This window comes from Homo sapiens, chromosome 9, assembly GCF_000001405.40.
Source record: "Homo sapiens chromosome 9, GRCh38.p14 Primary Assembly".
Taxonomy (NCBI): domain Eukaryota; kingdom Metazoa; phylum Chordata; class Mammalia; order Primates; family Hominidae; genus Homo; species Homo sapiens.
Window position 1 is genome coordinate 137,025,770 of NC_000009.12, and position 21,629 is coordinate 137,047,398.

Genomic DNA, 21,629 nt, shown 5'->3' on the forward strand with positions numbered 1-21,629 from the left:
GCAACAGGCCCGGCTGCCTCCCCCATTGCTATAGCAACGGCCTCGCACGAGCTACTGGGAGGAGGAGGAGAGTCCTGGCTGGCAGGCGGCGGGCGCCACAGCAGCATCTGGTTACAGGCGGCAGCACAGGTCTAGCACGCCCTGGGTGCCCCACACAGGTGCCTCCAGGTGGCCCAACCTCCGTCCCTCGAGACCAGCCCAGTGCCTTCACATCGCCTGGAGGCCTAGATGCCTTCTCTGGGCATGACCCCTCCCTGTAGCTCCCGCCTACTGTGTCGGGGGGAGAACAGGTGAGACCCGAGGGTGGCGCTGCCATCTGCCATCCCAGTGACTTCATGACAGTGACCCTGTCCCTGCACCAAGAGCAGCCTGTAGCCCAAGGGTAGACCCAAGTCCAGCTAACTAAGAGGAGATAGGCCACACTCACAGACAGGGAAACTGAGGCAAAGAGCTTGGAGGAGCCTGCTAGCAGCACAGAGGTCCTTGGCACCCACCCTCCAGACCCTGAGCTCTGCCCAGGGTGGAGCTCTGCCCAGGGTGCACCCCTGCCCCAGCAGGGCGCATGGCACACAGGGCAAACCTCTGTCATCCAAGCTTGGCCCCAAGAGTCCAGCTCTGATGTCCAAGATCCTTCCCAGGAAAGTGGGGACCCAGCAGGAGTGTGCCCAGTGTCCAGCCAGCCCCAGCCCCACATCACAAGCCTGGCAAGGACTCAGCCTCCCTGGGGGAAACAGTTCCCCACCTGCTCCAGCCATGGGCTAAGGACCTCCACTGTGGCCCAGTGGGCCTCTGGGAGCCCTGTAGGGTGGGGACCCAAAAAGGTCCTGGGGGGCAGCCCAAACCAGCAGCTGGGAGTCACTCTTGCGGTCAGGACAGTGCACACCTCCCACCTGCTTGCCAGCTGCCCTCATAGGCCACACTCCCTTCCCTGAGCATTGTCCCCACTGGAACAGGGGCCACCATTCCAGCCTCTGCTCCCAAGCCCAGTGGGGACCTTCCTGACAACCACCCCCGGGGACTAATACTAATGCATGCCACATGCCACATCCCTGTTCCCTTGGCCCTGCTCTGCTGTCCCCAGTGACTCAATGCCAGGGGCTGCAGGCCTGATCCATGGGACCCCACTCAGCCAGCTCCAGGTGCCTGGCCAGGGCATGTACCTAACCCAGGCTCCCCGCCAAGGCCAGGTGCCCAGGGGAATTCTGCCAGCCATGGTGATGATGGCCACCCCAGCTGACTGCAGCCTGGGTTTCCTGCAGTGCATGTTGAAAGATAAACAGGCACGGACTGGTGCAGCCCAAGGGGTCCCGCCCGGGCCCTGGCTGGGCAAGAGGATGTCTGCCTTAGGCCCCCACCTGCTCTGAGCCCTGGCCTGGACAATCCCAAGGGCCTTCAGAAACCTAAGCTGGTCCAGGCCTGTGGCCTGGGAGGTGTCCCTTCCCTTCCCAGGCTGGAGCCAAGCTGGCCAGCTGGGGGTATGGCAGGACACCCATATCCCCAAGCCCCTCGCTCCACGAAGGACTTCTGTCCCTGACAGCCATGTGTCCTGCACCCTCAGGTCCACTGGCTGCCCAGGCAGTGCTGGGAAAGCCGGGGTTCACAGCTCCAAACAGTAGACCCAGCCCCCAGAGCAGGTGGGGGGACCAGGAGGCAACAGAGTGGATCAGGCTCGGGGAGAACTGACCCCAAAGGACAAATGGGTGCAGAGATTCAGGCTGGCCAAGGCTGGCACAAGGACATTCCCAGTGGCGAGAGCATGAGCAAGGGTCACGGATGTGCCAGGAGGGGAGGCGGAGAGATGCCTGGGACCAACCTCTATGGCAGGCCGCGGCCCAAGGGCAGGGGAGGGGTGGACGGAGGGAAGGGACAGGGTCTCCTCCGGGACCCCAGGGAGGCTGGGCCCAAGGACCATGGAGCCTCGCAGCTGAATGGAGCCCCCCAGGCCTGCCTTCTGTCCTGGGAACCAGGGCCTCCCTCGAGCCAGAGTCCTGAGCGCCGCTTGCCCCCCGCCCACAGCGGCCCCAGCGAGCGCGCTGCAGAGGGCGCGGGTGCCGTGACTCAGCCGAGCACCGCGATGTCAGCGGACGCGGGACCGGACTGGACACGACCGAGCCACCTCCCCGGAGGCCGCAGCGCCGGCAGGCGAGGGCAGGGCCCGGCGGGGAGGGGGCTCGGGCCCGCGCCGCCCCCAGCGCCCGCCGGGGTCTGCGCGCGCCCGGCCGTCCGCACGTGCGCGCGGGGAGCGCGCCTCTGGCCGCGGTGCGCGCGGCCTCGGGCTGAGGGCGGGCGCGTGGGGTGGGCTCACCGGGCTCCGGCGTTTGAGCGTCACGTTCTTCCAGAGCAGCAGCTGCAGCTGGTGCAGGAAGCCCATGGCGGGGCCACGCTCCGCCGCCTCAGCGCCGCGGCCCGCTCCTCTGCGCGCCCCGCCGGGCCCCGCAGCCCGCCGCGCCGCTGGGCATCGCCCGCGCGGGGGCGGGGCGCTCGGGCGTCCGGGACCCGATCCGCGCTGGCTCCGCCCCGGCGGCCGCGGCGACAGCGACTCTGCCCGCGCCCCGCCCGCCCCCGCTTAAAGGCGCCGCGCTCCGTCCGCGCCCGCCAGGAGGCGCCCGCCGCCCGCGCCGCGCCCGGGACCGACCCGGGCCCGAGACCCTGCGCGCGCCGCCGCCGGGAAGCCTCCGGGCCGCCCCTCGCCGGGCGTCACGCGACGCGCCCACATCGAATCCGAGACCCCGGCTTAGCCTTCGTAGGCCGGGGGACCCTCGGGCGCTGCGCTCTTCTCCCAGAGGCATCCGGCTGCGCCCACCGCGCTGGCGACTCTGCAGAGGCGCCCCAAGCCTTCACTGTCCCCGGGGCGCGCCGAGCGGACGCTGGCGAGGGGCCAGCTCACCCCCGTAAGGGTCTCCTGTGTGCTTTGTAAACCAGCACTTGGAGTCCAGGTGGTGCCCACCTGGAAGGGAGGCAGGGCGGCCAGGTGGGTCCGTCCCGCGATTCCGAGCAGCCAGCGGAAGGGGGGAAACTCGAGGCCCCAGGAACGCTCGCCGTGAGCGGAGCAGGCAGGGGACCGAGGCGGCCCCTGCTGCACGCGGCTCGTTTTTCTCCCCATATTCGGGCGAGTCTGGTCTCTGCACAGGGAGTTCGGGATCAGGCGGTTCTGCGGCTGTGGCTTGGCACCTGCTGGGGCGCCCCGGGAGGTGGGGCAGTTCCTCCGCGTGGCCTGTAGAGAGCGACAGAGGACAGGCTGACCCCATGGGTGGCTCTGACGGCGCTTCCCAGACTCAGTTTCCCCCCTGTGAATGGGGTGGAGTAGCGCTGTGTGGTGTCCAGTGTCAGGGCGCACATAGAAGGCGCATCCTCAAGTGAATGAAGACCTCCGAGGCCACAGCTCCCCACTCCTCCCAGCTCCTTTGCAGCAGGAAGGTGACCCTGGGCTAGTGAGTGAGGGATCAGCTTCCCACCCCAGCCCGCAGCCTCAAGGCACTTGCTTTTCTCTGCTCAGTCCACAGGGCTGGGTCAGGGCAGGAAGCTACCAGCAGGTCTTTCCCACAAGCCACAGCCATGGGTGAGGGGGGCTTCCTGCCCTCAACCTGCCCACCCCTACCTGGGGTAGGGACAAGCCCTGTGCCCCAGCCCCGGGGGCTTAGCCTGTTGGGGCCCTGGTCAGCACCACCCGTGGGTTGGCCTCTCTCCTCCTCGCCCCACTCTCCACCGTCCACTACAGGGGCTCCCTGGCTGCAGCCGCATCCCCAGTGCCTCCCCAGCACTGGCCACCAGAGGGAGCTACAAGGCACAGGTCAGACCCTGTCACCCCAGACACCCTCCAGCCTGCGGGCCTGGGAGATGGGCGATTTCAGCCTGGCCAGGCCTCTGACGTCCGTTCCCTACTCTTCCCCAACCTTGGCCTGTTTTGGTTTTTGTTTTGAGACAGGGTCTCATTCTGTTGCCCAGGCTGGAGTGCTGTGGTGTGATCACGGCTCACTGAAGCTTCAACCTCCTGGGCTCAAGCCATCCTCTCACCTCAGTATCCCAAGTAGCTGAGACCACAAGCGTGAGCCACCACGCCCTGCTAATTCTTGTATTTTTGGTAGAGATGAGATTTCACTACACTGCCCAGGCTGGTCTCGAACTCCTGGGCTCATCGCCTTGGCCTTTTGGGGGACACAGAAGGCTCTCTGATAAGGGGCCGTCTGGCGGAGGCTGTAGGAACTGGGGTAGCCAGTGGGCAGCCCGGCACAGGGAGGGCTCTCAGGCGGAGGGTGAGCAAAGGCCCAGAAGTCAGGCGACAGGACCCCCCGTGGGGAACAAGCAGCCCCATGGCCGTGGGGGCGACATGTCAGGGGAGGGCAGATGCAGGCTCTGTGGCCCTGCACGGAGGTGACCCATGAGACACTGGCCAGACCCACGAGGCACTGCTCAGATGTTTATTGTCCACCGCCCTCCCTCCCTGAGCCCAGAACAAGCTGGTTTGCTCCCCGTGGTCTCCTGGGCCCCGCCCCAGCCTACACACAGGGACCTCAGAACTATGGACGTGGCAGGGACCCGTGCCTGTGTCTCGGGGACCACAGGGCCTCTGCTACCGAGGAAGCTCGGGGTCCCAGGTTTGGCCCCCACAAACTTCAGGCTGGGGTGCCCCCCAGCCCCAAGGGCCCTGCCTTTCACCCTCTTCCAGCCAGGCCTTCACCCACCCAAGATTTGTTCAGGGTGGGGAGGGTCCTCGGCAGCCTTTCCCCTCCCGTCTGCCGCAGCAGGCACCCGTTACCTCCCTCCCACTCTCACCTCCTCTGCATGCTCCAGTGCCCACCTGCACCCCCCACCCCTGCTTCCTGACCTCTGTGCCCAGCCTCCCGTTAGCCCGCTGCTTGCCGGTAAGGGCCGGATGCCTGGTGGTTTGATTTCGACACCCAGCCCTTCCACCCACACCCACCTCCCCCGGCCAGCGGATCTCAGGCCTGAAACCAACCCTCAAGGTCCTCATAGACTTGGCTGCGGGGTAGGTGTGGGTAGCGGTCACAGATGGCACAGAAACGTTCCCGCCAGTCGGTGAACAGTCGCACGCGGAGCCTGTCACGCCAGGCAAAGAAGCGTTGGTATCGGCTCTCATTCATGCCAGTGAGGAAAGCCGCCAGCTCTCGGGCTGAGCCAAAGTCATCCACATGCACGAAGGCGTCAGCCGGCACGAAGGCCTCATAGGTGGCCCGTGGGGGCCCCAGCACCACTGGCACAGTGCCAGCCACCAGTGCGTTGCGCCAGAATTTCTCCGTAATGTAGTCGCGGTGCTGAGAGTTCTCAAAGGACAGGTAGAAGCGGTACTGGGCCACGGTGGGCACCAGGCAGCTGGCGCACAGTGGCCGTCCATTGGCACGGCCAAAGACATCCACCCGCAGATGAGGCGCCAGCTGCCGGTACAGCCTGGCACGCAGCTGCCGCTCCTGGAAGTTGCTGACCACCCAGGCGGCCACCCTGCTCTTGGCTGGCAGCGGTGGCGAGGGCCCCCAGTGGGGCTCCAGGCGGCCATAGGGCACAAAGATGTCCGAGTCGCGCCGGTAGCTCAGCACCCAGTTGAAGATGCCTCGGAGGTGGCTGAGGCCGTGGGTGTGGCTAGGAGACTCCATGGAGGCCCACACCCAGGGCTGCCCTCGCGGCCGCTGGGCCAGGGGCAGGTGGGACCGCCGGGTCTGCAGCTCGCGGTGGTGGAAGACCACGGCGTCGGCGCTGGCCAGCAGGCTTCGGTTGGCACTCAGGTGGCAGCGGGCGATGCCGTAGCGGGTGCAGGTGTCGCTGGGCAGCTCTGGGGGCTGGTCAGTGAAGGGCCAGTGCCAGACAAGGATGGTGATCGTGGGCTGGGGTGCCGGGGTACCCCGAGGGGCTGACCCCAGCAGCCACAGGAGCCAGAGGGCAGCGAGCAGAGCCACCCCGGCCAGGACCCCCAAGCCTCGCAGCCTCCGGGTGGGGCCGTGCCCTGCAGCAGCACGAGGGAGGGGAGGCTCTGTCACTTGGGCTCAGGGACATCCACACGCCCCACTCAGCGCCAACCCCGTCCTCCCCTCCCATGGGCTCAGGGACACCCACATGCCCCACTCAGCGCCACCCCCGTCCTCCCCTCCCATGGGCTCAGGGACACCGACATGCCCCACTCAGCGCCACCCCCGTCCTCCCCTCCCAGGTTGCCTAGCTGTCCCCAGCTTGGGCCTCCCCGAGGGCCAGACACTCACCAGCATTATTCATCCACAGTCTCCCAGGATCAGTCAGCCAAGAGACCCGAGATTCTCAAATCACGGCAGCCGCCAGAGGTGCCCCTGAAATCACAGCTACGCCCTAGCTCAGCCCCGCCTGGAACTGTGCTCCTTTTATCTCTGCCCAAGGTGAGGGAACTCAGGGGACCTTCCTGCTCCTGCCCCGCCCCTGCCCCCACAACCTTTGGCATCAACCACTGTCCCCACCCCCATCTCGGGGACTTGCTAGTCCTGGGGCTGCTGGGAGGGGTACAGCCACAAGAGGGATGCCAAGCCAGGGCAATATGACGCCCCCACAGCCCACCCCACTGGTCTCCAGAGAGGCCCAGAGATGTCCAGCTGGGCAGGCAGAGGACAGAGAGGCTCGGGCAGGCTTGGCCCAGGGCAGAGAAGGCCCAGGTGCAGGCACCCTGAGCACAGATGGCCCCCCAGCCCCCACCCAGCTACCCAGGCCTGGGCGCTGCAGACAGCGAGTGCACTTCCCCAGAGGGCCAGGTGGCTCCTCCCACGGCAGTATCACCCACTTCCCCCAGCTCACCACCAGCTGGGCCCTGGTCTCCCAGGAGAATCTTACACATTGAAGATGTACTGTGCTCAGCTCTTTGCCGGAAGCTAAAGCTCCCAATTGGGCCATCCCACCCCACTCTGCCACCTCTGCCATCTAGGAACCCAGATGCCCGGAGAGGAGGTCTGTCCTGGGGCCCTTAGTGTCTTCCCACAGGAGCCCAGCGCGTGCCTGCAAGGGCCTGGTCCCGGAATGAACTGTGGATGGAGGCTGCTTTGTCCTTTTCCCCGTCCAGATCCATGCCCATAGACACCGCTGACTATAGGCTGGGCCCAGGGTCCCTTCCTCCAGCCTGCAGCAGAGGGGCTTTCCAGGCTGGAAAGGGAAGGAGTCCTTTTGTCCCTGACGCAAGCGGGTTGGGGGCCAGCACCCGCTCCAGGAAGAGGAAGGGATCCAGCCTGAAGTCCAGACTCCCCGCTCCCTCTAAGCCAGGGCCTGGAGCCTGGAGGCCAGGTTCCTTCTTCTACACCAGCCCACGTTGGGTGCCAGCCAGGCTGGGATGGCCCTGCGGGGTCACCCTGAGCCCCAGCCAACCAACACCCCACTCTCAGCCACAGTGGGAGGCCCCATCAGCCTCTTCACCCAACCACGTTGCCACTCTGCTGCACGGGACCTTGTGTGGTCCCAGGCGTGGCCAGACCCAGACGTCCTGGAGATCTCAATGCAGGTCAGGCTTGGTTTGTTTGTTTGTTTGTTTGTTTGTTTTTTGAGAGGGAGTCTTGCACTATCGCCCAGGCTGTAATCCCAGCATTTTGGGAGGCCAAGGCTTGTGGATCACCTGAAGTCAGGATCAAGTGGTGCGATCTTGGCTCACTGCAACCTCCACCTTCCGGGTTCAAGTGATTCTCCTGTCTCAGCCTCCCAAGTAGCTGGGATTATGGGTGCCTGCCACCACGCCCAGCTAATTTTTGTATTTTTAGTAGAGATGGGGTTTTCCCATGTTGGCCAGGCTGGTCTCAAACTCCTGACTTCAGGTGATCCACAAGTTTCAGCCTCCCAAAGTGTTGGGATTACAGGCATGAGCCACCGCGCCCAGCCAAGTTTGCTTTTTTGTGTGTGGGTTTTTGTTTTTTGTTTTTTGAGACAGGGTCTTGCTCTGTTGCCCAGGCTGGAGTGCAGTGGCGCAGTCACGGTTTGCTGCAGCCTCAACCTCCTGGGCTCAAGCAATGCTCCCACCTCAGCCTCCCAAGGAGCTGGGTCTATGGGTGTGCACTACCATGCCTGGTTAATTTTTTAAAATTTTTTGTAGAGGCAGAGTCTTGTTATGTTGTCCAGGCTAGTTTCAAACTCCTGGCTCAAGCAGTCCTCCCACCTCGGCCTCCCAAAATGCTGGGATGCTGGGAATGAGGACGCGTCTGTCCTGTCAGGTCTTTTGGGGGCTCAGATCGTGTGTCCTGGGAGGAATGGCAACCATGAACTGTTGTCCAGACCTTTGCCCCAGCACCCTCAGAGGGGGCCTGCCTCCCACCACCCCTGTCCCTGTCCTGTTCTACTTTTGGGCCCCAGGGGCTGCTGGCCTCTCCCCGGCCCCACAGTGAGGACAAGGCTGCCTTGGGAGGGGAACCAGGCAGCTGGAGACTGAAGTGGGAGGATCCCACTGTGGGGACAGAGGCAAGACTGGGACAGGGTGGTAGTCAGAGGCCCCCACCCCTGTGGCGCAGTGTAGCCTCTGAGCTGAGCTTTGCTGCGGAACTTGTGCAACGGCTGGAGGGAGGGGGGCTGGAGGGAGGGGGACTTGGAGGGAGGGGGCTTGGGAGGGGGGCTGGAGAGAGGGGGGTTTGGAGGGAGGGGGCTGGAGGGAGGGGAGCTTGGAGGGGAGCTTGGAGGGAGGGGGGTTTGGAGGGAGGGGTGCCTGTGGGCGCCACGGGAAACTGTCAGTGCCTGAGCTGCTTGGCTTAGGGGCTGGCACCAGAGTGGGCAGCTGCCTCCAGCCCCGCCTTTCCAGCCTCCCATGTTTTCGGTGATGACCACAGTGGCACCTGGGCCTTTAATCCCACCCCAGCGTTCCTCCTCTGGCAGGGGGCCCCCGGGGAGCCACACCTTGGCTTCAGCCTCACACCACCCCATCTCTTCTCCTTGAAACAGACACCCGGCGGCAGTTCCTGCAGGAAGGAGGCTGTCCTGCCACGCCTGCGGGTGACCCGGCCTCTGGTGCCAGAGCCTGCCATCCTTCCTGTTTGTGCTGCCAGGCTGGCAGGGTCCCTTGCCACCGACCTCAGCCGCAGCCACAGCCTGCTCCCTCCCTGGGTGGATTTGAAGGAGCCTCCCCCACCCTCCGCCCCTAGCTTGCTCCTTGAGGACCCTGGGCAGGGTGGCTGCCATGGGGCCCAATCGTGCGTGGGAACCTGCGAGCTGGCAAACGGGGCTCGGGGGTTTTGCCCAGAAATGGGTCAGAACGAAAGCCTCTCAGAGGAAAGAAAAGGGCATGAGTCAAAGAGAAAGTCGGGGGGCAGGGGCTCCCCCTCATCTCACCCCACCCAGGCCTCCTGACTCCCTGGGTTTGTGCGGACCCAGGCAGGCAGCCAACCCCAGCTCCGTGGTGTGTGAGCATCGTGATGATCAGGACACAAGCTCTTCCCCGCTGAGCCTTCACTGTGGGCCAGCTTCCCGGTGGATGCCCACTGAAGAGGCCTCAACCCAGTGGGCCCCACTCCAGACCAAGAGCAGACCATTGGCCAGCTGCCCCCTGCAGACAGCGGCACCCGGGGCAGCAGCAAGGTGAGGGGCACCCAGCCCCAGCCCCAGGGGCGTCTCAGGGAGCGGGCTGAGCCTGGCTGTCTTCCTGAGCCCCACCTGCTTCATGGGTTGGCTTGAGCAAGGCAGTCCAGATGCGTGTCTCGAGCGCTCCCTGGCGGCATGCTGCAAAGCTACATGGCTCCGGCAACAAGGAAGACTGCCCTTATTCTCAGTAACAGGTGGAGCTGGGGGCTGGAGAGCCCCTCGGACCTCGCCTTGGGAAAGCTGGGTGGGTGCACGGAGCCTGGCAGGTGGCCAAGGGGACCCCCAAGTGGAGGGATTGGTCGAGGGGCAGCACAGGGTGGTGCAGTGGGTGAGCTCAGCCCCTCCCCTCCAACTCTCATCCCATTGAGCCCCAAGGCGTGGGGGGATCACGTCTGTCCTTGTTCTCCTCCAGGTGGAGCTGCTGGGTGGGGCTCTGGTCCTCCAGGGACCCACTCTGCACCCCAAGTTTTGCCGGGACCCGCTCCTCTGTGTTGTGTGGCTGTAGGGGAGGGCTGCAGCCAGGGACTCTGAACCCGGGGCCGGCCCACCCAGCCACCCAGGGTGGGGAACAAGATCGCCTCCCAGGGCCAGAAGCTGGGGATGTCCTTGCTTCCTAGGATGTTGGCTAGGGGATCACACGCCCCACATTCTGGGTCAAGCATGGTCCTGCCCCAGCATCTTGCTGGGTTGGGGGCATCTCTGCACAGATGAGTGCCACCCCAGCGTCTCCGCCAGGGTCTGGGCATGTCACTCTTGGGCATCTGTGCTCAGGAGGTCACCAGGTGTGGGCAGGGCACCAAGCAGGGAGGTAGCCGAGGCTGGAAGATGCACATCAGTGCCCCGCTGGGCTTCCTCAAGTGGGAACTGGTGGAGGGGGCGCTAGGCTGCCGGGCCAGGGTCAGCAGGCTCAGGCCGGCTCAGGGCTCAGAGTTGAGCCAGAAACCAAGGTGAAATCTGCCTCTTACTGCCGCCAGGGCCCTTGGGACAGGGACAGGAACAGCAGAAGGTAAAGTGGAAAGGAATTGAGTAATGGGCCCCCAGGCAAGGCTGAGCCAGGCCCCAAGCCCAGGATTGGGGTCTCCAGAGTCCCTGGGGGCCCCAGGGCAGCTCACCCACAGCCTGGGGCCTATGGGAGCAAGGGGGCTCCTGATGGGTGGGGGCAGGAGCTTGGACAAAGTTGAAGGCCTTCTGTCTGAATTGGCCAGGGGCCAATGAAAGCCAAAAAGCTGGTGTGGTGGCTTATGCCTGTAATCCCACTTTGGGAGGCCAAGGCGGGTGGATCACCTGAGGTCAGGAGTTCGAGACCAGCCTGGTCAACATGGTGAAACCCCATCTCCACTAAAAATAGCTGGGCGTGGTGGCAGGCACCTGTATGTAATCCCAAATACTCGGGAGGCTGAGGCAGGAGAATCACTTGAACCTGGGAGATGGAGGTTGCAGAGAGCCAAGATCATATCACTGCACTCCAGCCTGGCTGACAGAGTGAGAATCTGTCTCAAAAAAAAAAAAAACAATTCCAAAAAGGCGAGTGGGGAGCAGGGTGCTAGGCTGCATGGGGGCCTATGCCCCCACCGGAGGACCTAGCCCCCTGCCAACCCTTCCCCAGCTCAGGCCCACCAGCTCCCTTCTCACACAGCTGCTCTGGGAGGGAGTCCTTCCTTGCCAATACCTAAGAGAATGGGCAGCAGGGACCCTGAGGACAGGTTGGGGACACCCAGAACAAGAAGAAGATGGGACACACTAGGAGGCTCTTGGGCCCCTGCGTCAGGCCAGCAGGATAGGTGTGTATTGTGACCTGAGGGACTGAACGTGGAGCTCCAGGGGAACCTCCCAGCCAGTGACACGCTGGCCTTGGGCCAGACGCTGCCCTGCGCCCTTGAGTGACGCTCGGGCCTCCCTGCACCCACCCGCTTTCCCTGTGGCTAATGGCTTAGAGTGAAGGATGGTGGGCGTGGGCGTGCCACGTGGGCTCAGCGTCCACCCTGCCCCATGCACGCAGGCACCCATCACACCAGGGCCCACACACAGGCTCCCATCACACCCTGCCCCATCACAGCAGTGCCCAGAGGGACATGGGGCTCCCAGCTGAGGGCCAGCCCAAGGTCACAGGTGAGGAGTGAGAGGTGAGAGGCAAGGGGGCTTCCTGGTCTGGGTGGGCTGTGGCCCCCAAAACATGTTGCTTAGGTCAAGCCAGTCTCCCCCAGCAGGGGTGAACAATTTTCCCCCAGCCTGCCTGGCCCACCCTTTCTCCAGGGACGGTGCCCAGTGGGCCTTATCTTCCCCATGCCAGGTGTGATGGTTAATACTGTCAATTTAATTGGATTGAAGGATACAAAGTATTGATGCTGGGTGTGTCTGAGAGGGTGTTGCCAAAAGAGATTAACACTAGAGTCAGTGGGCTGCGGAAGGCAGACCCACCCTTCATCTGGTGGGCACCATCTAATCAGCTGCCAGCGAATGTCAACCAGAAAAACGTGAAAAGGAGACGACAGGCCTCGCCTCCCAGCCTACATCTTTCTCCTGTGCTGGACGCTTCCTGCCCTCGAACATCGGACTCCAAGTTCAGCTTTGAGACTCGGGCTGGCTCTCCATGCTCCTCAGCTTGCAGACGGCCTATTGTGGGACCTTGTGATCGTGTGAGTTAATACTTAATAAACTCCCCTTCATATATATATGTATTTCTTTTTTTTTTTTTAACACAGTCTTGCTGTCTCTAGGCTGGAGTGCGGTGGTGCAATCTTGGCTCACTGCAACCTCCGCCTCCTGGGTTCAAGCGATTCTCCTGCCTCAGCCTCCAGATAGCTGGGACTACAGGCACACGCTGCCATGCTTGGCTAATTTCTTGTATTTTAGTAGAGACGGGGGTTTTACTGTGTTGCCCAGGCTGGTCTCGAACTCCTGAGCTCGGGCAATCCGCCCGCCTCAGCTTCCCAAAGTGCTGGGATTACAGGCATGAGCCACTGCACCTGGCCCCCCTCTCTCTCTCTCTCTATATATATATATCTCCTATTAGTTCTGTTTCTCTAAGAGAACCTGACTGGCCGTGTGTGGTGACTCACGCCTGTAATCCCAGCACTTTGGGAGACCGAGGTGGGCAGATCATCTGAGGTCGGGAATTCCAGACCAGCCTGGCCAACATGGAGAAACCTCGTCTCTACTAAAAATACAAAATTAGTCAGGTGTGGTGGCGCACACCTGCAATCCCAGCTACTCGGGAGGCTGAGGCAGGAGAATCGCTTGAACCTGAGAGGCGGAGGTTGCAGTGAGCCGAGATCACGCCATTGCACTCCAACCTGGGCAACAAGAGTGAAACTACGTCTCAAAAATAAATAAATAAATAAATAAATAAATAAATAAATAAATAAAAAGAGATCCCTGATTAATAACACGAACACGCCAGGGCTGTCTAGGTGCCTGGACCTCCAGACTCCTAACAACCACTGAGGGGCTTCTGAACCCAGTCCTCCTACGTCCCCAGCATCAGTGGGACAGAGAGTTTCAGCCCCCGCACGCTGACCTGGTACTGGCCTGATCTGGGCACTTTTGACCACATGATTCCCCTTCCTCCCTCGGGGCCTTCTTGCTCCAAATTTAGGAGTGGCCAAGTCCCAGCTCCAGGCGTCCAGGCCCCTCCCATCACACCCCTCACCTGGCCCCCTGGGTCCACCTGGCTCTGCATAGCTGGTATCACACAGGTACCTCTGCCTGCCATCCCTCCTCCGTGTGCTGCAGGGCCTGGCGGCCGTGGTCCCCATGAGAAACCCAGACTCAATGTCTGCATTGTTTTCCTTCTGCCTGGAGGTGGTGGGCACCCACATCCAGGTGCGTGTGGACTATCACCTGCTCCAGCCCTCTTTATCACACAGGATGGGGTCTTCCGGGCCGCAGAGCCAACCCTGGGCTGGCCCAGCCCTACACTACACCCTTCCCCTCTCCCACCTGCGTAGAAGGGTCTGCAGGGGTGAGGCCTGGCTGAGGAGGGTGGGGATGATCCCGTGGCCTCTCCTCCAGCTCCACGGGATGGGAAGGTCCTCCTAATGAGCGAACAGAAAGGCCTCCTCCCTCTGGGGGTGCAAGAGCAGACCCCAGGCCCCCCACTCAGGGGTCCGTCTACCAGGGCCCCAAATGGGAGATGAGGCGGTGGAAGATTAACCCAAGCTGGCAACACAGGCAGAAGCCGCAGGTCTGAAATGGACTTTAATTGGCTTTTGTCTCTAGAATTACCCACCCGTTCCTGCGCTCTACGGTTCTCCATGCCCCCTCCAGTTTGGGGGTCTAAACCGAACAGGAGAGGTGCAGGGGACCAGGAGGTGTCCTGGCACAAAGGTTCGGGGGTCTCCCTGGCAAGGGGTCCCAGGGCCTGGAGCCCGAGGCCCAGCCAAAAGCACACAGCATCAAAACATGTTTTTAGTGGGAAGCTCCAGGCCCTGCCCCTCCCCGGGGGCCTCGAGGTCGGGGAGCAGGTGGGCGTCTGTCTGCCTCCAGGTCATGGCAGTGCAGGCGGTGAGCTGGGGGCCGGCAGGGGCGCGGACAGTGCGGCGTGGTCGAACAGAGGGTTGCGCACCTCCATTTCCCCGGTCTGCGAATGTGGGTGTCAGGCTGGGCAGTGGGTGGGCTGGGGGGATACTTGCTGGGAGGGAACCCCAGGAGATGGTTCGCCCCTCCCTGCACCCTGAGGCACTCACCGGGGCCAGGCCCGGGCACTCGTACACCGTGAAGTCTCCGTCCTCATTCTCCTCATCCGAGGAGGCCGTGTCCAGCTCCTTGGGTGGCTCTTTATGCCTGGGTGGGGGGGGATCGCTGGGTCCTCCCCATGCCCTCGAGGTGCCAGTGGCCCAGTCTGGAAGTGGGCACTCAGCCCACCTCAGCCCTGGGGTGGCAGGGGAGCACAGCCCAGGGTGAAGTTGGCCAGGGGAGGTGAGGGTGCAGGGCGGCGGGGGAGGTGAAGGTTAGCGTGCAGGTGAGGGTGGCAGGGCCTGGGGTAAAGTTGGCCAGGGGAGGTGGAAATGGAGGTGGAGGTGGGGATGGGGGGTGGGTGGGTGGGGGTGGCAGTGCCGGGGCGGCCACTCACCGCTCCAGGCACAGCATCTGTTGCCGTTGGTGCTGGTAGTGGTACATCTCCGCGCTCTGTGCCAGCCGCTGGTCCCCAGGCTGTGGGAAGGAGGAGGCGAGGGTCAGTTGGCGGCCAGAGTTGGGCGGGAGCCTCAGGGCTGAAGGGGGCCACACACCGAGATCCGGGGAGCTGCAGGTGAGCCAGGGGCCTTCGCAGTGGCGTAGTCGGCCTTCTGAGTCAGGCGGATCTCACGCTGCAGCCTGTGGGGAGTGGGGCCTGAGACCTCTGAGCGTGTGGCACCCTCCCTGCCCTGCCCGCGGCCACTGGCTCACCTGCACCAGCAGAGGGAGGCTACGGAGAGGGCGGCTGCACCGGCCACACAGAACGCCAGGATCAGCACTGCAGGAGGGGGCGTGTGAGGGCGGCCTTCTGCAGGGCGCCCTGCTGCCCCTGCCCACCCCCGACCAAGACCTACCAAGGGCGAGGCCGTCGCCTTGCCCTCCCCGGGGCTCCAGGGGCGACATGTGCACCGGGTCGGATGACACAGGGGAGCCCAGGGAGGTGTGGGGCGTGGGCGTGGGGGTTCCTGGAGTGGAGGGGAGGCCCAGCTCCAGCCCCTGCCCCCGTGCCGAGAAGCCCAGGGTGGCTGCGAGAGAGGACAGGTTAGAATGAGAGCACTGGGCTAGGGACAGGGCCGTGGGGCAGGGGAAGCGGGGGTCTCACCAGGCTCCGGGAGCCGCTGTCGGTCCTTGGGTAGGGGCGGAGTTGAGTGTCCAGACTCCTTCCGGGCAAGCTCCTGGGCCAGGAAGTCAATCTCATCTTCCAGTCTGGGCTGGGGCCGGCCCCCGCCTGGGGAGGGTGAGGGGCCATCAGGTGGAGGGGTCCGTCCAGGAGGTAGCCCCAGGCCCGGCCTCCCCGCTTCTGGCAGGTTCCTCCCAGGAGCCTGAGGACTGGGTACACGCCTGGAGGCCCTCTCCCTCCCAGATTGCCATGGTGACAGCGCGGGCGCTTCCTGTGAGGGGCAGTGCTTCCCGGAAAGTGGAGGCAGGGCAAGGGAGGAGGCGCTAGGGAAACGTCCAAAGACCGGGCACGGGGAGGAAGGAGTGGGGTCTCTCGCCCCAACCCATGTCCATAAAGGGCTGGCCAGCACAGCCCCTTCTGCTTCCCCACCTCCAAGCACCTTCTCGGGTAGAGGGGCAGGGACTCCCCAAGGAGTGGGGGGAAGCCGAAGGAAGCCAAGCACCCGGGACCCCTCCCCAGGTCATTGGGAGAACGGGGGCAGCTGTCAGGGGTGGGGCTGGTGGCAGGGCTCCACCGGTACCCACTGTGGGCTGCACAGTCTGGGTGGACGCTCCCAGGTTGGCAGGAGGTGCATCCACACAGACCCTTACAGCCACTTCTCGGTGCTCCTCTCAACACCTCCTCCAGGAAGCCGCTGCTGCTCCCACCCCCAGCACCTCTGAGCAAAGCCCTCACCACACCTGAAGTCACTCAGTGACTGGCCATCCCGACAGATGCGGCTCAGGCTGGCGAGCGGGGCATCCCCAGCACCCAGCCAGTGCTGGCACCCTTCAACATTTGCCAACAGGCGGACAGGACAGTGAGTGGTGGAAAAGAGCAAGCTGCCTGGGGACGGGGAAGTGGGGGCCTGGAGGGCTTCTGGGCAGACCCTGCAGAGCCCAGGCCCGGGGAGAATGGGCCCTTCCTCTCCCGTGGCCATCCCAGCATTTCACATCGTGCAGCCCTTCTCCTGGGAGGGCCTGACTGCCCCAGGCCTGGGCCCACCTCCATTTGGAAAGGATGGGAGGCTTCGTGGAGAGTGAATGAGGATCTCCCAGGCCTTGGACCCAACACCCCACAAGGTCCAGGGGCCCCAAGACCACCTGGCACAGGCCTGGGCATTGAGGCTGCAGGCTGCTGCTTTTTTTTTTTTGAGGCGGAGTCTCGCTCTGCCGCCCAGGCTGGAGTGCAGTGGCGCGATCTCGGCTCACTGCAAGCTCTGCCTCCCGGGTTCACGCCATTCTCCTGCCTTAGCTTCCCGAGTAGCTGGGACTACAGGCGCCCGCCGCCACGCCCGGCTAATTTTGTTTTTGTATTTTTAGTACAGATGGGGTTTCACCGTGTTAGCCAGGATGGTCTCGATCTCCTGACCTTATGATGTGCCCGCCTCGGCCTCCCAAAGTGCTGGGATTACAGGCGTGAGCCACTGCTCCCGGCCTTCTTTTTTTTTTTTTTTTTTTTTGAGACAGAGTCTCGCACTGTCGCCCAGGCTGGAGTGCAGTGGTGAATCGGCTCACTGCAAGCTCCGCCTCCCGGGTTAAAGCAATTCTCCTGCCTCAGCCTCCTGAGTAGCTGGGACTACAGGTGTGTGCCACCACACCCGGCTACTTTGTATTTTTAGTAGAGACGGGGTTTCACCATGTTGGCCAGGCTGGTCTTGAACTCCTGACCTCATGAGATCCAACAGCCTGGGCCTCCCACAGTGCTGGGATTACAGGCATGAGCCACCGCGCCCAGCCGGCCGCTTCTTACAGGGAGAGGTTCATGCAGGGACATCCCCCCATCGACTTCCCCCTTTGCTCTCGTACCTGGAGGCCGGCGCATCCTGGGCACACAGAGCCCTTGCTGGTCCTCCTGGAAGGGCTGAAGGCAGGGCCCACAGGCATGTGCACCAGGAGGACACCTTGCCCGCCTCTTCAGGGCACAGTCCAGGCTCCCGGGACAGGCGGCTACATCTGGGAAGGAAGCAGAAGGCAGGGCCGGCTCACGGCCCCGCAGGGCTCGGCCCCTGCACACGGCAGCGCTGCCCCAGCCACCCGCCCCCGTCACCCCCCGAGCTGGCCGGGCCTGGTTCTGGCCATTGTTCTGGACATGCCCTTCCTCCCTGACGCCAGGGCTCAGAACCCGGAAGCGAACAGTCCTAGGACTTATCAGAACTACCCTGCCCCACCCCTCCCCAGGGTCCACTTCCAGGCCTGATAGAGCCCTCAGCTCAGAAGCTGAGTCTCGCCGTCCAGGCAGTGCTGAGTTCTCCTGGGCAGGGCCGTGCAGCCCCACAAGCCCAGCCTCCGGCCTCAACATGCCCCACAGCAAGCCAGGAACCCCGTCCAGATTGGGAGTCCCAGAGGGAAGGGCCCAGGTCTGTCTCTGGGGAGCAGCAAACGATGCCGCCAGCGACCTCTCCTTCCCGTGCGGCTCTCCCCAGAACCCGGCACTGACAAGTGTGCAGCCTGGAAGGGATGCTGCTCCTCCAGCCTCTGGCTTGTCCCCCAGGCACCGAGGACACCTAAGATGGAGTCTGCTGACCTCACTGGCCTCAGACACAGAACCCAGGCAGGTCACTCCCAAAGCCACCACACCAGGGGCTGCAGTCAGGGGCCAGGTGGCACCCGAGGGCCTCAGGAGGCCGAGGTTGGCAGTGCTGGGGATGGCAGGCCAGGCCCTAGTTCCCTAGTTCCTAACCACACTTTCATCTCGCTGATGAGGGGCCCAGGCCACGGTGCCAGCTGACACATGTGGCTAATCAGTCTTATCCTGGTGCTGGAGAACGGGGCGAGGGGGCAATGGCCCTCTGCCTCAGTTTCCCCTCTGGGATATAGCTGAGTTGCCTCAAAGCTAAGGAATGTCCCCAGTCACAGCAAGCCAGTGGAGCCAGGGGAACCCCAGCAGGGCCATCAACCCTGCCTGGGGAGTCTGCGGTGGCACCTCTGGCTAACCAGGACTCTTCCTCTCTGCCCAGCCCCACACTGCACACTGCAGGCAGGGCCACGGGGGCCACACGGGGCATCATCCTTCTCCAGACCTTGGTTGGCTGGTTTGGTTTCCTTGGTAACCTGACACTCAGGGCCCTCAGGCTGTCCGCCTTCCTTCAAGGCAGTTCCAGCAGCCGCAGTGGCAGGTGGGCACAGGAGCCAACGCCAGGCACCGCACACCCTCCACAACCTGGGGCAGCAGCCTCCAGTATCAGTGGGCCGGGACTTGGGCACGTTAAACATTAAACCTGTGCCAGCAGGTCCACCTGGGCCCACCCGCCAACTTGGCACCTGGGGAGTGAGGCAGTCCCCGCTCCTGTGCTGATACCCCACCGTCCACCACGCCAAAGGCAGGGGCCTGAGGTACAAAGCTGGCTCTAGGGTCTGGGTTCCAGGCCCCTCCTAGCCCTTTTCCCCAGCCCAGGAGCCTCCATCCCCCACTTCCTCCTCCTGAAAAGAGGTCGCAGGAACAAGAGCAGCTGGACGGTGGCTGGCACACCCCCCTCCACCCGCCAACGTCTGGGCTGCCTGAGGGCCCTCCCTTCCAAGCACTGGGCACTGGGAATGGGAGGAGTTGCCTAGGGAGGGCCCTGCCAGGTCTCCCGGTGAGGCAGACACGAAGCTGCAGAGGCCGGTGAACTGAGGACTGGCACCTGCCACCCACCCGGGCTCAGCACAGCAGCTGCAGCCCCGTTTCCTGAATAGGTGGCCTCCGCCTTTCCTGGCTGAGCACACTCTGATTCTCGGAAGCCTCTCCTGTTCATGCCCACCTCCCATCCAGGGGCACTGAGCCCAGGAGGAAGCCGGCCTCACTCTGGCCCCTTGAGGCCACACACACAGAACCAGGCTGCCCAGGACAGCGCCTCAGCTGTGCCACAATCCACTTAACTTCTCCATGCCTCGGATTCCTTGCCTGTAAAACGGGCTCACAGCACCTCTTCTGCAGGGCTGCCAGGAGTACTGTACGAATGCAGTCGCAAAGTCTCCCAGTTCAGTCCCCCCAGAAAAACGTCAGCTTTGCATCCTGGGTTCCTGCAGGGAGCTCTGCTCTCTGGACCCTCAGGACCCATCTGTGCAGGTGAGAGGGTGTCCCAGGACCCTGGGCTTATCACCCTCCTCCGGAGTCCACCTGCAGCCCTCAGTCCCAAAGACAGAATGCCAGTGCCCTCGAGGGCAGGGGATGCAGGCGGAGGCTCTGAGGCTGCAACAGTCTCCCTCCTATTGAAGCTAGAACAGCACCCCGAGCCTGCGCCATAAGTGCCCCCAGAACTTCAGCGCCCACCATGGCGCACAAGGCCGGTGCCCAGCGCCACCCAAGGCGTGAGGACAGGCAGAGCAGCACTGAGGCCCCGACCCCGGGACGCGCACCGGCAGCGAAGCCGGCGGGCACTCAGGGCCAGCCCCACACCCGCAGGAGCCCCGAACACGGAGACACAGAGACGCACACAGGCAGACTCCCGGCGGGCCCGCCCAGAGCCAGATGGCCGCGGCGCGGAGGCCTGAGCCAGACGCGCTCCCGGCGGAAGAAGCCATGAATGTAAGGTACGCCTCTGGGAACCGGCAGAAGCCCCATCCGGCGCGGCCTTTTGGAGGCTCCGCGCTGCGCCCTCCGGCCAGGCCTGTTTATTCCATCGTGGGCGAGGCGGGGCCCCCGCCACCAGCGGACCAGGCCTGCAGGGCCTGCGGGCCTGGGCAGGACGAGGGCGGCGGCGCCCGGCAACCCGGTCCCCGCCCGGCGATCCCGGCCCCGGGGCGCCCCGCGGCCTGCGCCCAGCGCGCTCGCTCACCCGGGTGGCCGGCGGCGGCTCCACGCAGGGCGGCGCCGAGGACGAGGCCGGAGAGCAGCAGCCGCAGCAGCCGCAGGTGCCGCGGGGAGGGCGGAGGCAGCGGCGTCGCCATCCTTCAGCGCCGCCGCCGGGGCAGCATGGCACCGCGAGGCCAGGGGCTCGGCGCGGGCTCCGGGCTCCGCGTCGGGAGCAGCGGAGGCAGCGGGGGAGGACGCAGGAGGAAGAAGAGGCGGATGCCAAGGAGGAGGAGGAGGAAGAGGAAAGGCACGGGCGGCGGCGCTGACGCTGCAGCAAGGATCCGGGATGGAGGCGCCGGCGAGGCGCGCACGCGGAGACTGCGCCTGCGCGCTCCACCTGAGGGGGCGGGAGGGCGGCTCCAGACTGCGCCCCCTCCCCCTGCTCCAGTTCTGGTCCCCTCTCCGGGCCTCGCTGGACCTCTCTCGGCCTCAGGGTGTCTCGGCACCTGCGGTCTCTGGGGCCGGTGCGGTTCCCAGAAGTCCGGCTGGGTTTGGGCCGCGGGTGGGCTTCTCCAGGATGCGCTCCCTTCTGGCCTCTTCCCGGTAGGACTCCGAGCCCCTCACCCGCACCCGCGATGGGGCAGAGGACCTGTGTGGGCCTAGCCTCGCGAGCGCACAGAGACACAGGAGCGCCGGGCGCACGCAGACAGGTGCTCACGAGCTGGGCAGGTGCACAGGAAGGCACAGGTGTGCCCACAGAGGCAGGGGCACCCCCACTCGCGGGAAAAGCAAATACAGGAACACAGAACGGCCCCGGCCCCGACTGCAGCTTTGGCTGGAGCCGCGGCGGCCGCGCTCAGTGAGGCCACCAGGGGGCAAGAGTGATCCGGAGCCACTGAGGACCGGAGCTGGGAGCTGTCCAAGGTGTTCAGGGTCCCCAGGTGACAGCCCTTTAGCTCCCTCAGGACAATGGGCATCTTTTTTTTTTTTTTTCTTTGAGACAGCGTCTCTGTCGCCTAGCCTGGAGTGCAGTGGTGCCATTTCGGCCCACTGCAACCTCCACCTCTCGGGTTCAAGTGATTCTCGTGCCTCTGCCTCCTGAGTAGCTGGGATTACAGGCGCGTGCCACCATGCTGGGCTAATTTTTGTATTCTTAGTACAGACGGGGTTTCACCATGTTGCCTCAGCTGGTCTTGAACTCCTGACCTCAGGTGATACGCCAGCCTCAGCCTCCCAAAGTGCTGGGATTACAGGCGTGAGCCACTGTGCCCAGCTGACAACGGGCATCTCTGATGCCCCCCTTGCACCTCACCTGTTGCCTCCCAAGAGCACGCCCACCCCATCCCACTAGAAACCTCCTTTGACTAGTCATTCAGAGAACAAGAGTGAGACCTCCAACCCGGGGTGTCCCCTTGGTCCTTCCAGTCTCAGAACTCCAAAGCTGGGGCTGGCTGCCCTCAGGTTTATCAAATGACTTTAAAAAAAAATGGTGAAGAGGGGAGGGAAGAGCAGAATAAGAACCACCACCCTCCTCGCCAGGGCACTGAGCATAGAGACAGTGTCT

At 63.9% G+C, this 21,629-nt stretch overlaps 3 protein-coding genes and 1 long non-coding RNA gene across 7 annotated transcripts in view, besides 9 other annotated features; 1 reads left to right on the forward strand and 3 right to left on the reverse strand.

Moving 5' to 3' along the window:
- The window catches only part of ABCA2 (ATP binding cassette subfamily A member 2), a 21,689-nt gene extending 18,536 nt beyond the window's left edge, over nucleotides 1–3,153 (reverse strand). For 2 of the 4 annotated variants that reach the window (XM_047422921.1, NM_212533.3), the window contains exon 1: nucleotides 2,948–3,153. In XM_047422921.1, coding sequence (XP_047278877.1) covers nucleotides 2,948–3,103 — 156 coding nt within the window. In that variant the 5' untranslated portion in view covers nucleotides 3,104–3,153. Of the gene's footprint in view, nucleotides 1–2,305; nucleotides 2,469–2,947 lie in introns of those variants that run through there. The other 2 variants (NM_001411042.1, NM_001606.5) reach the window with 1 other exon arrangement.
- On the forward strand, nucleotides 1,695–12,186 carry LINC02908 (long intergenic non-protein coding RNA 2908). The gene is made up of 3 exons (NR_171031.1): nucleotides 1,695–2,142; nucleotides 6,229–7,462; nucleotides 8,881–12,186. It is a non-coding gene; the product is annotated as a long intergenic non-protein coding RNA 2908 (long non-coding RNA).
- Nucleotides 2,546–2,725: a silencer, noted in NCBI's record as "silent region_20566". NCBI's record gives its function as "represses an Ori minimal core promoter by ATAC-STARR-seq in GM12878 lymphoblastoid cells {active_cell/tissue: GM12878}" and the evidence as "EXISTENCE:reporter gene assay evidence [ECO:0000049][PMID:35858748]".
- Nucleotides 2,546–3,353: a biological region, named in NCBI's record as "H3K4me1 hESC enhancer GRCh37_chr9:139922830-139923574".
- Nucleotides 2,609–3,353: an enhancer, noted in NCBI's record as "H3K4me1 hESC enhancer chr9:139922830-139923574 (GRCh37/hg19 assembly coordinates)". NCBI's record gives its function as "activates a minimal SCP1, AML or CMV promoter by ChIP-STARR-seq in naive H9 embryonic stem cells {active_cell/tissue: H9 hESC(naive)}" and the evidence as "EXISTENCE:reporter gene assay evidence [ECO:0000049][PMID:30033119]".
- Nucleotides 4,405–6,319, reverse strand: FUT7 (fucosyltransferase 7). Its single transcript, NM_004479.4, has 2 exons — nucleotides 6,210–6,319; nucleotides 4,405–5,956 (listed from the first exon to the last, which is right to left on the reverse strand). Exons 1-2 carry the CDS (start codon nucleotides 6,220–6,222, stop codon nucleotides 4,941–4,943), a joined length of 1,029 nt encoding a protein of 342 aa, NP_004470.1. The 5' UTR covers nucleotides 6,223–6,319; the 3' UTR covers nucleotides 4,405–4,940.
- Nucleotides 6,354–6,463: an enhancer, noted in NCBI's record as "active region_29338". NCBI's record gives its function as "activates an Ori minimal core promoter by ATAC-STARR-seq in GM12878 lymphoblastoid cells {active_cell/tissue: GM12878}" and the evidence as "EXISTENCE:reporter gene assay evidence [ECO:0000049][PMID:35858748]".
- Nucleotides 8,869–9,068: an enhancer, noted in NCBI's record as "active region_29339". NCBI's record gives its function as "activates an Ori minimal core promoter by ATAC-STARR-seq in GM12878 lymphoblastoid cells {active_cell/tissue: GM12878}" and the evidence as "EXISTENCE:reporter gene assay evidence [ECO:0000049][PMID:35858748]".
- Nucleotides 8,869–9,809: a biological region, named in NCBI's record as "H3K4me1 hESC enhancer GRCh37_chr9:139929142-139930030".
- Nucleotides 8,921–9,809: an enhancer, noted in NCBI's record as "H3K4me1 hESC enhancer chr9:139929142-139930030 (GRCh37/hg19 assembly coordinates)". NCBI's record gives its function as "activates a minimal SCP1, AML or CMV promoter by ChIP-STARR-seq in naive H9 embryonic stem cells {active_cell/tissue: H9 hESC(naive)}" and the evidence as "EXISTENCE:reporter gene assay evidence [ECO:0000049][PMID:30033119]".
- Nucleotides 9,810–10,696: an enhancer, noted in NCBI's record as "H3K4me1 hESC enhancer chr9:139930031-139930917 (GRCh37/hg19 assembly coordinates)". NCBI's record gives its function as "activates a minimal SCP1, AML or CMV promoter by ChIP-STARR-seq in naive H9 embryonic stem cells {active_cell/tissue: H9 hESC(naive)}" and the evidence as "EXISTENCE:reporter gene assay evidence [ECO:0000049][PMID:30033119]".
- Nucleotides 12,187–13,693: 1,507 nt separating the features above from the next.
- Nucleotides 13,694–20,408, reverse strand: NPDC1 (neural proliferation, differentiation and control 1). Its single transcript, NM_015392.4, has 9 exons — nucleotides 20,109–20,408; nucleotides 17,158–17,304; nucleotides 15,293–15,418; nucleotides 15,045–15,215; nucleotides 14,902–14,968; nucleotides 14,745–14,829; nucleotides 14,588–14,667; nucleotides 14,202–14,298; nucleotides 13,694–14,095 (listed from the first exon to the last, which is right to left on the reverse strand). The coding sequence occupies exons 1-9, from the start codon at nucleotides 20,218–20,220 to the stop codon at nucleotides 14,003–14,005; spliced, it is 978 nt and encodes a 325-aa protein (NP_056207.3). The 5' UTR covers nucleotides 20,221–20,408; the 3' UTR covers nucleotides 13,694–14,002.
- Nucleotides 20,473–21,142: an enhancer, noted in NCBI's record as "H3K4me1 hESC enhancer chr9:139940694-139941363 (GRCh37/hg19 assembly coordinates)". NCBI's record gives its function as "activates a minimal SCP1, AML or CMV promoter by ChIP-STARR-seq in naive H9 embryonic stem cells {active_cell/tissue: H9 hESC(naive)}" and the evidence as "EXISTENCE:reporter gene assay evidence [ECO:0000049][PMID:30033119]".

Excerpts from the sequence above, each read along its gene's own strand:
- NPDC1 (NM_015392.4), bottom strand. The coding sequence starts at position 20,220 with ATGGCGACGCCGCTGCCTCCGCCCTCCCCGCGGCACCTGCGGCTGCTG. Across the intron at positions 15,419-17,157 it reads CAGGATGCGCCGGCCTCCAG|GCGGGGGCCGGCCCCAGCCC; the intron begins GTACGAGAGCAA and ends CACCCTCCCCAG. Across the intron at positions 14,969-15,044 it reads AGGCGACGGCCTCGCCCTTG|TGCTGATCCTGGCGTTCTGT; the intron begins GTAGGTCTTGGT and ends CCCCTCCTGCAG.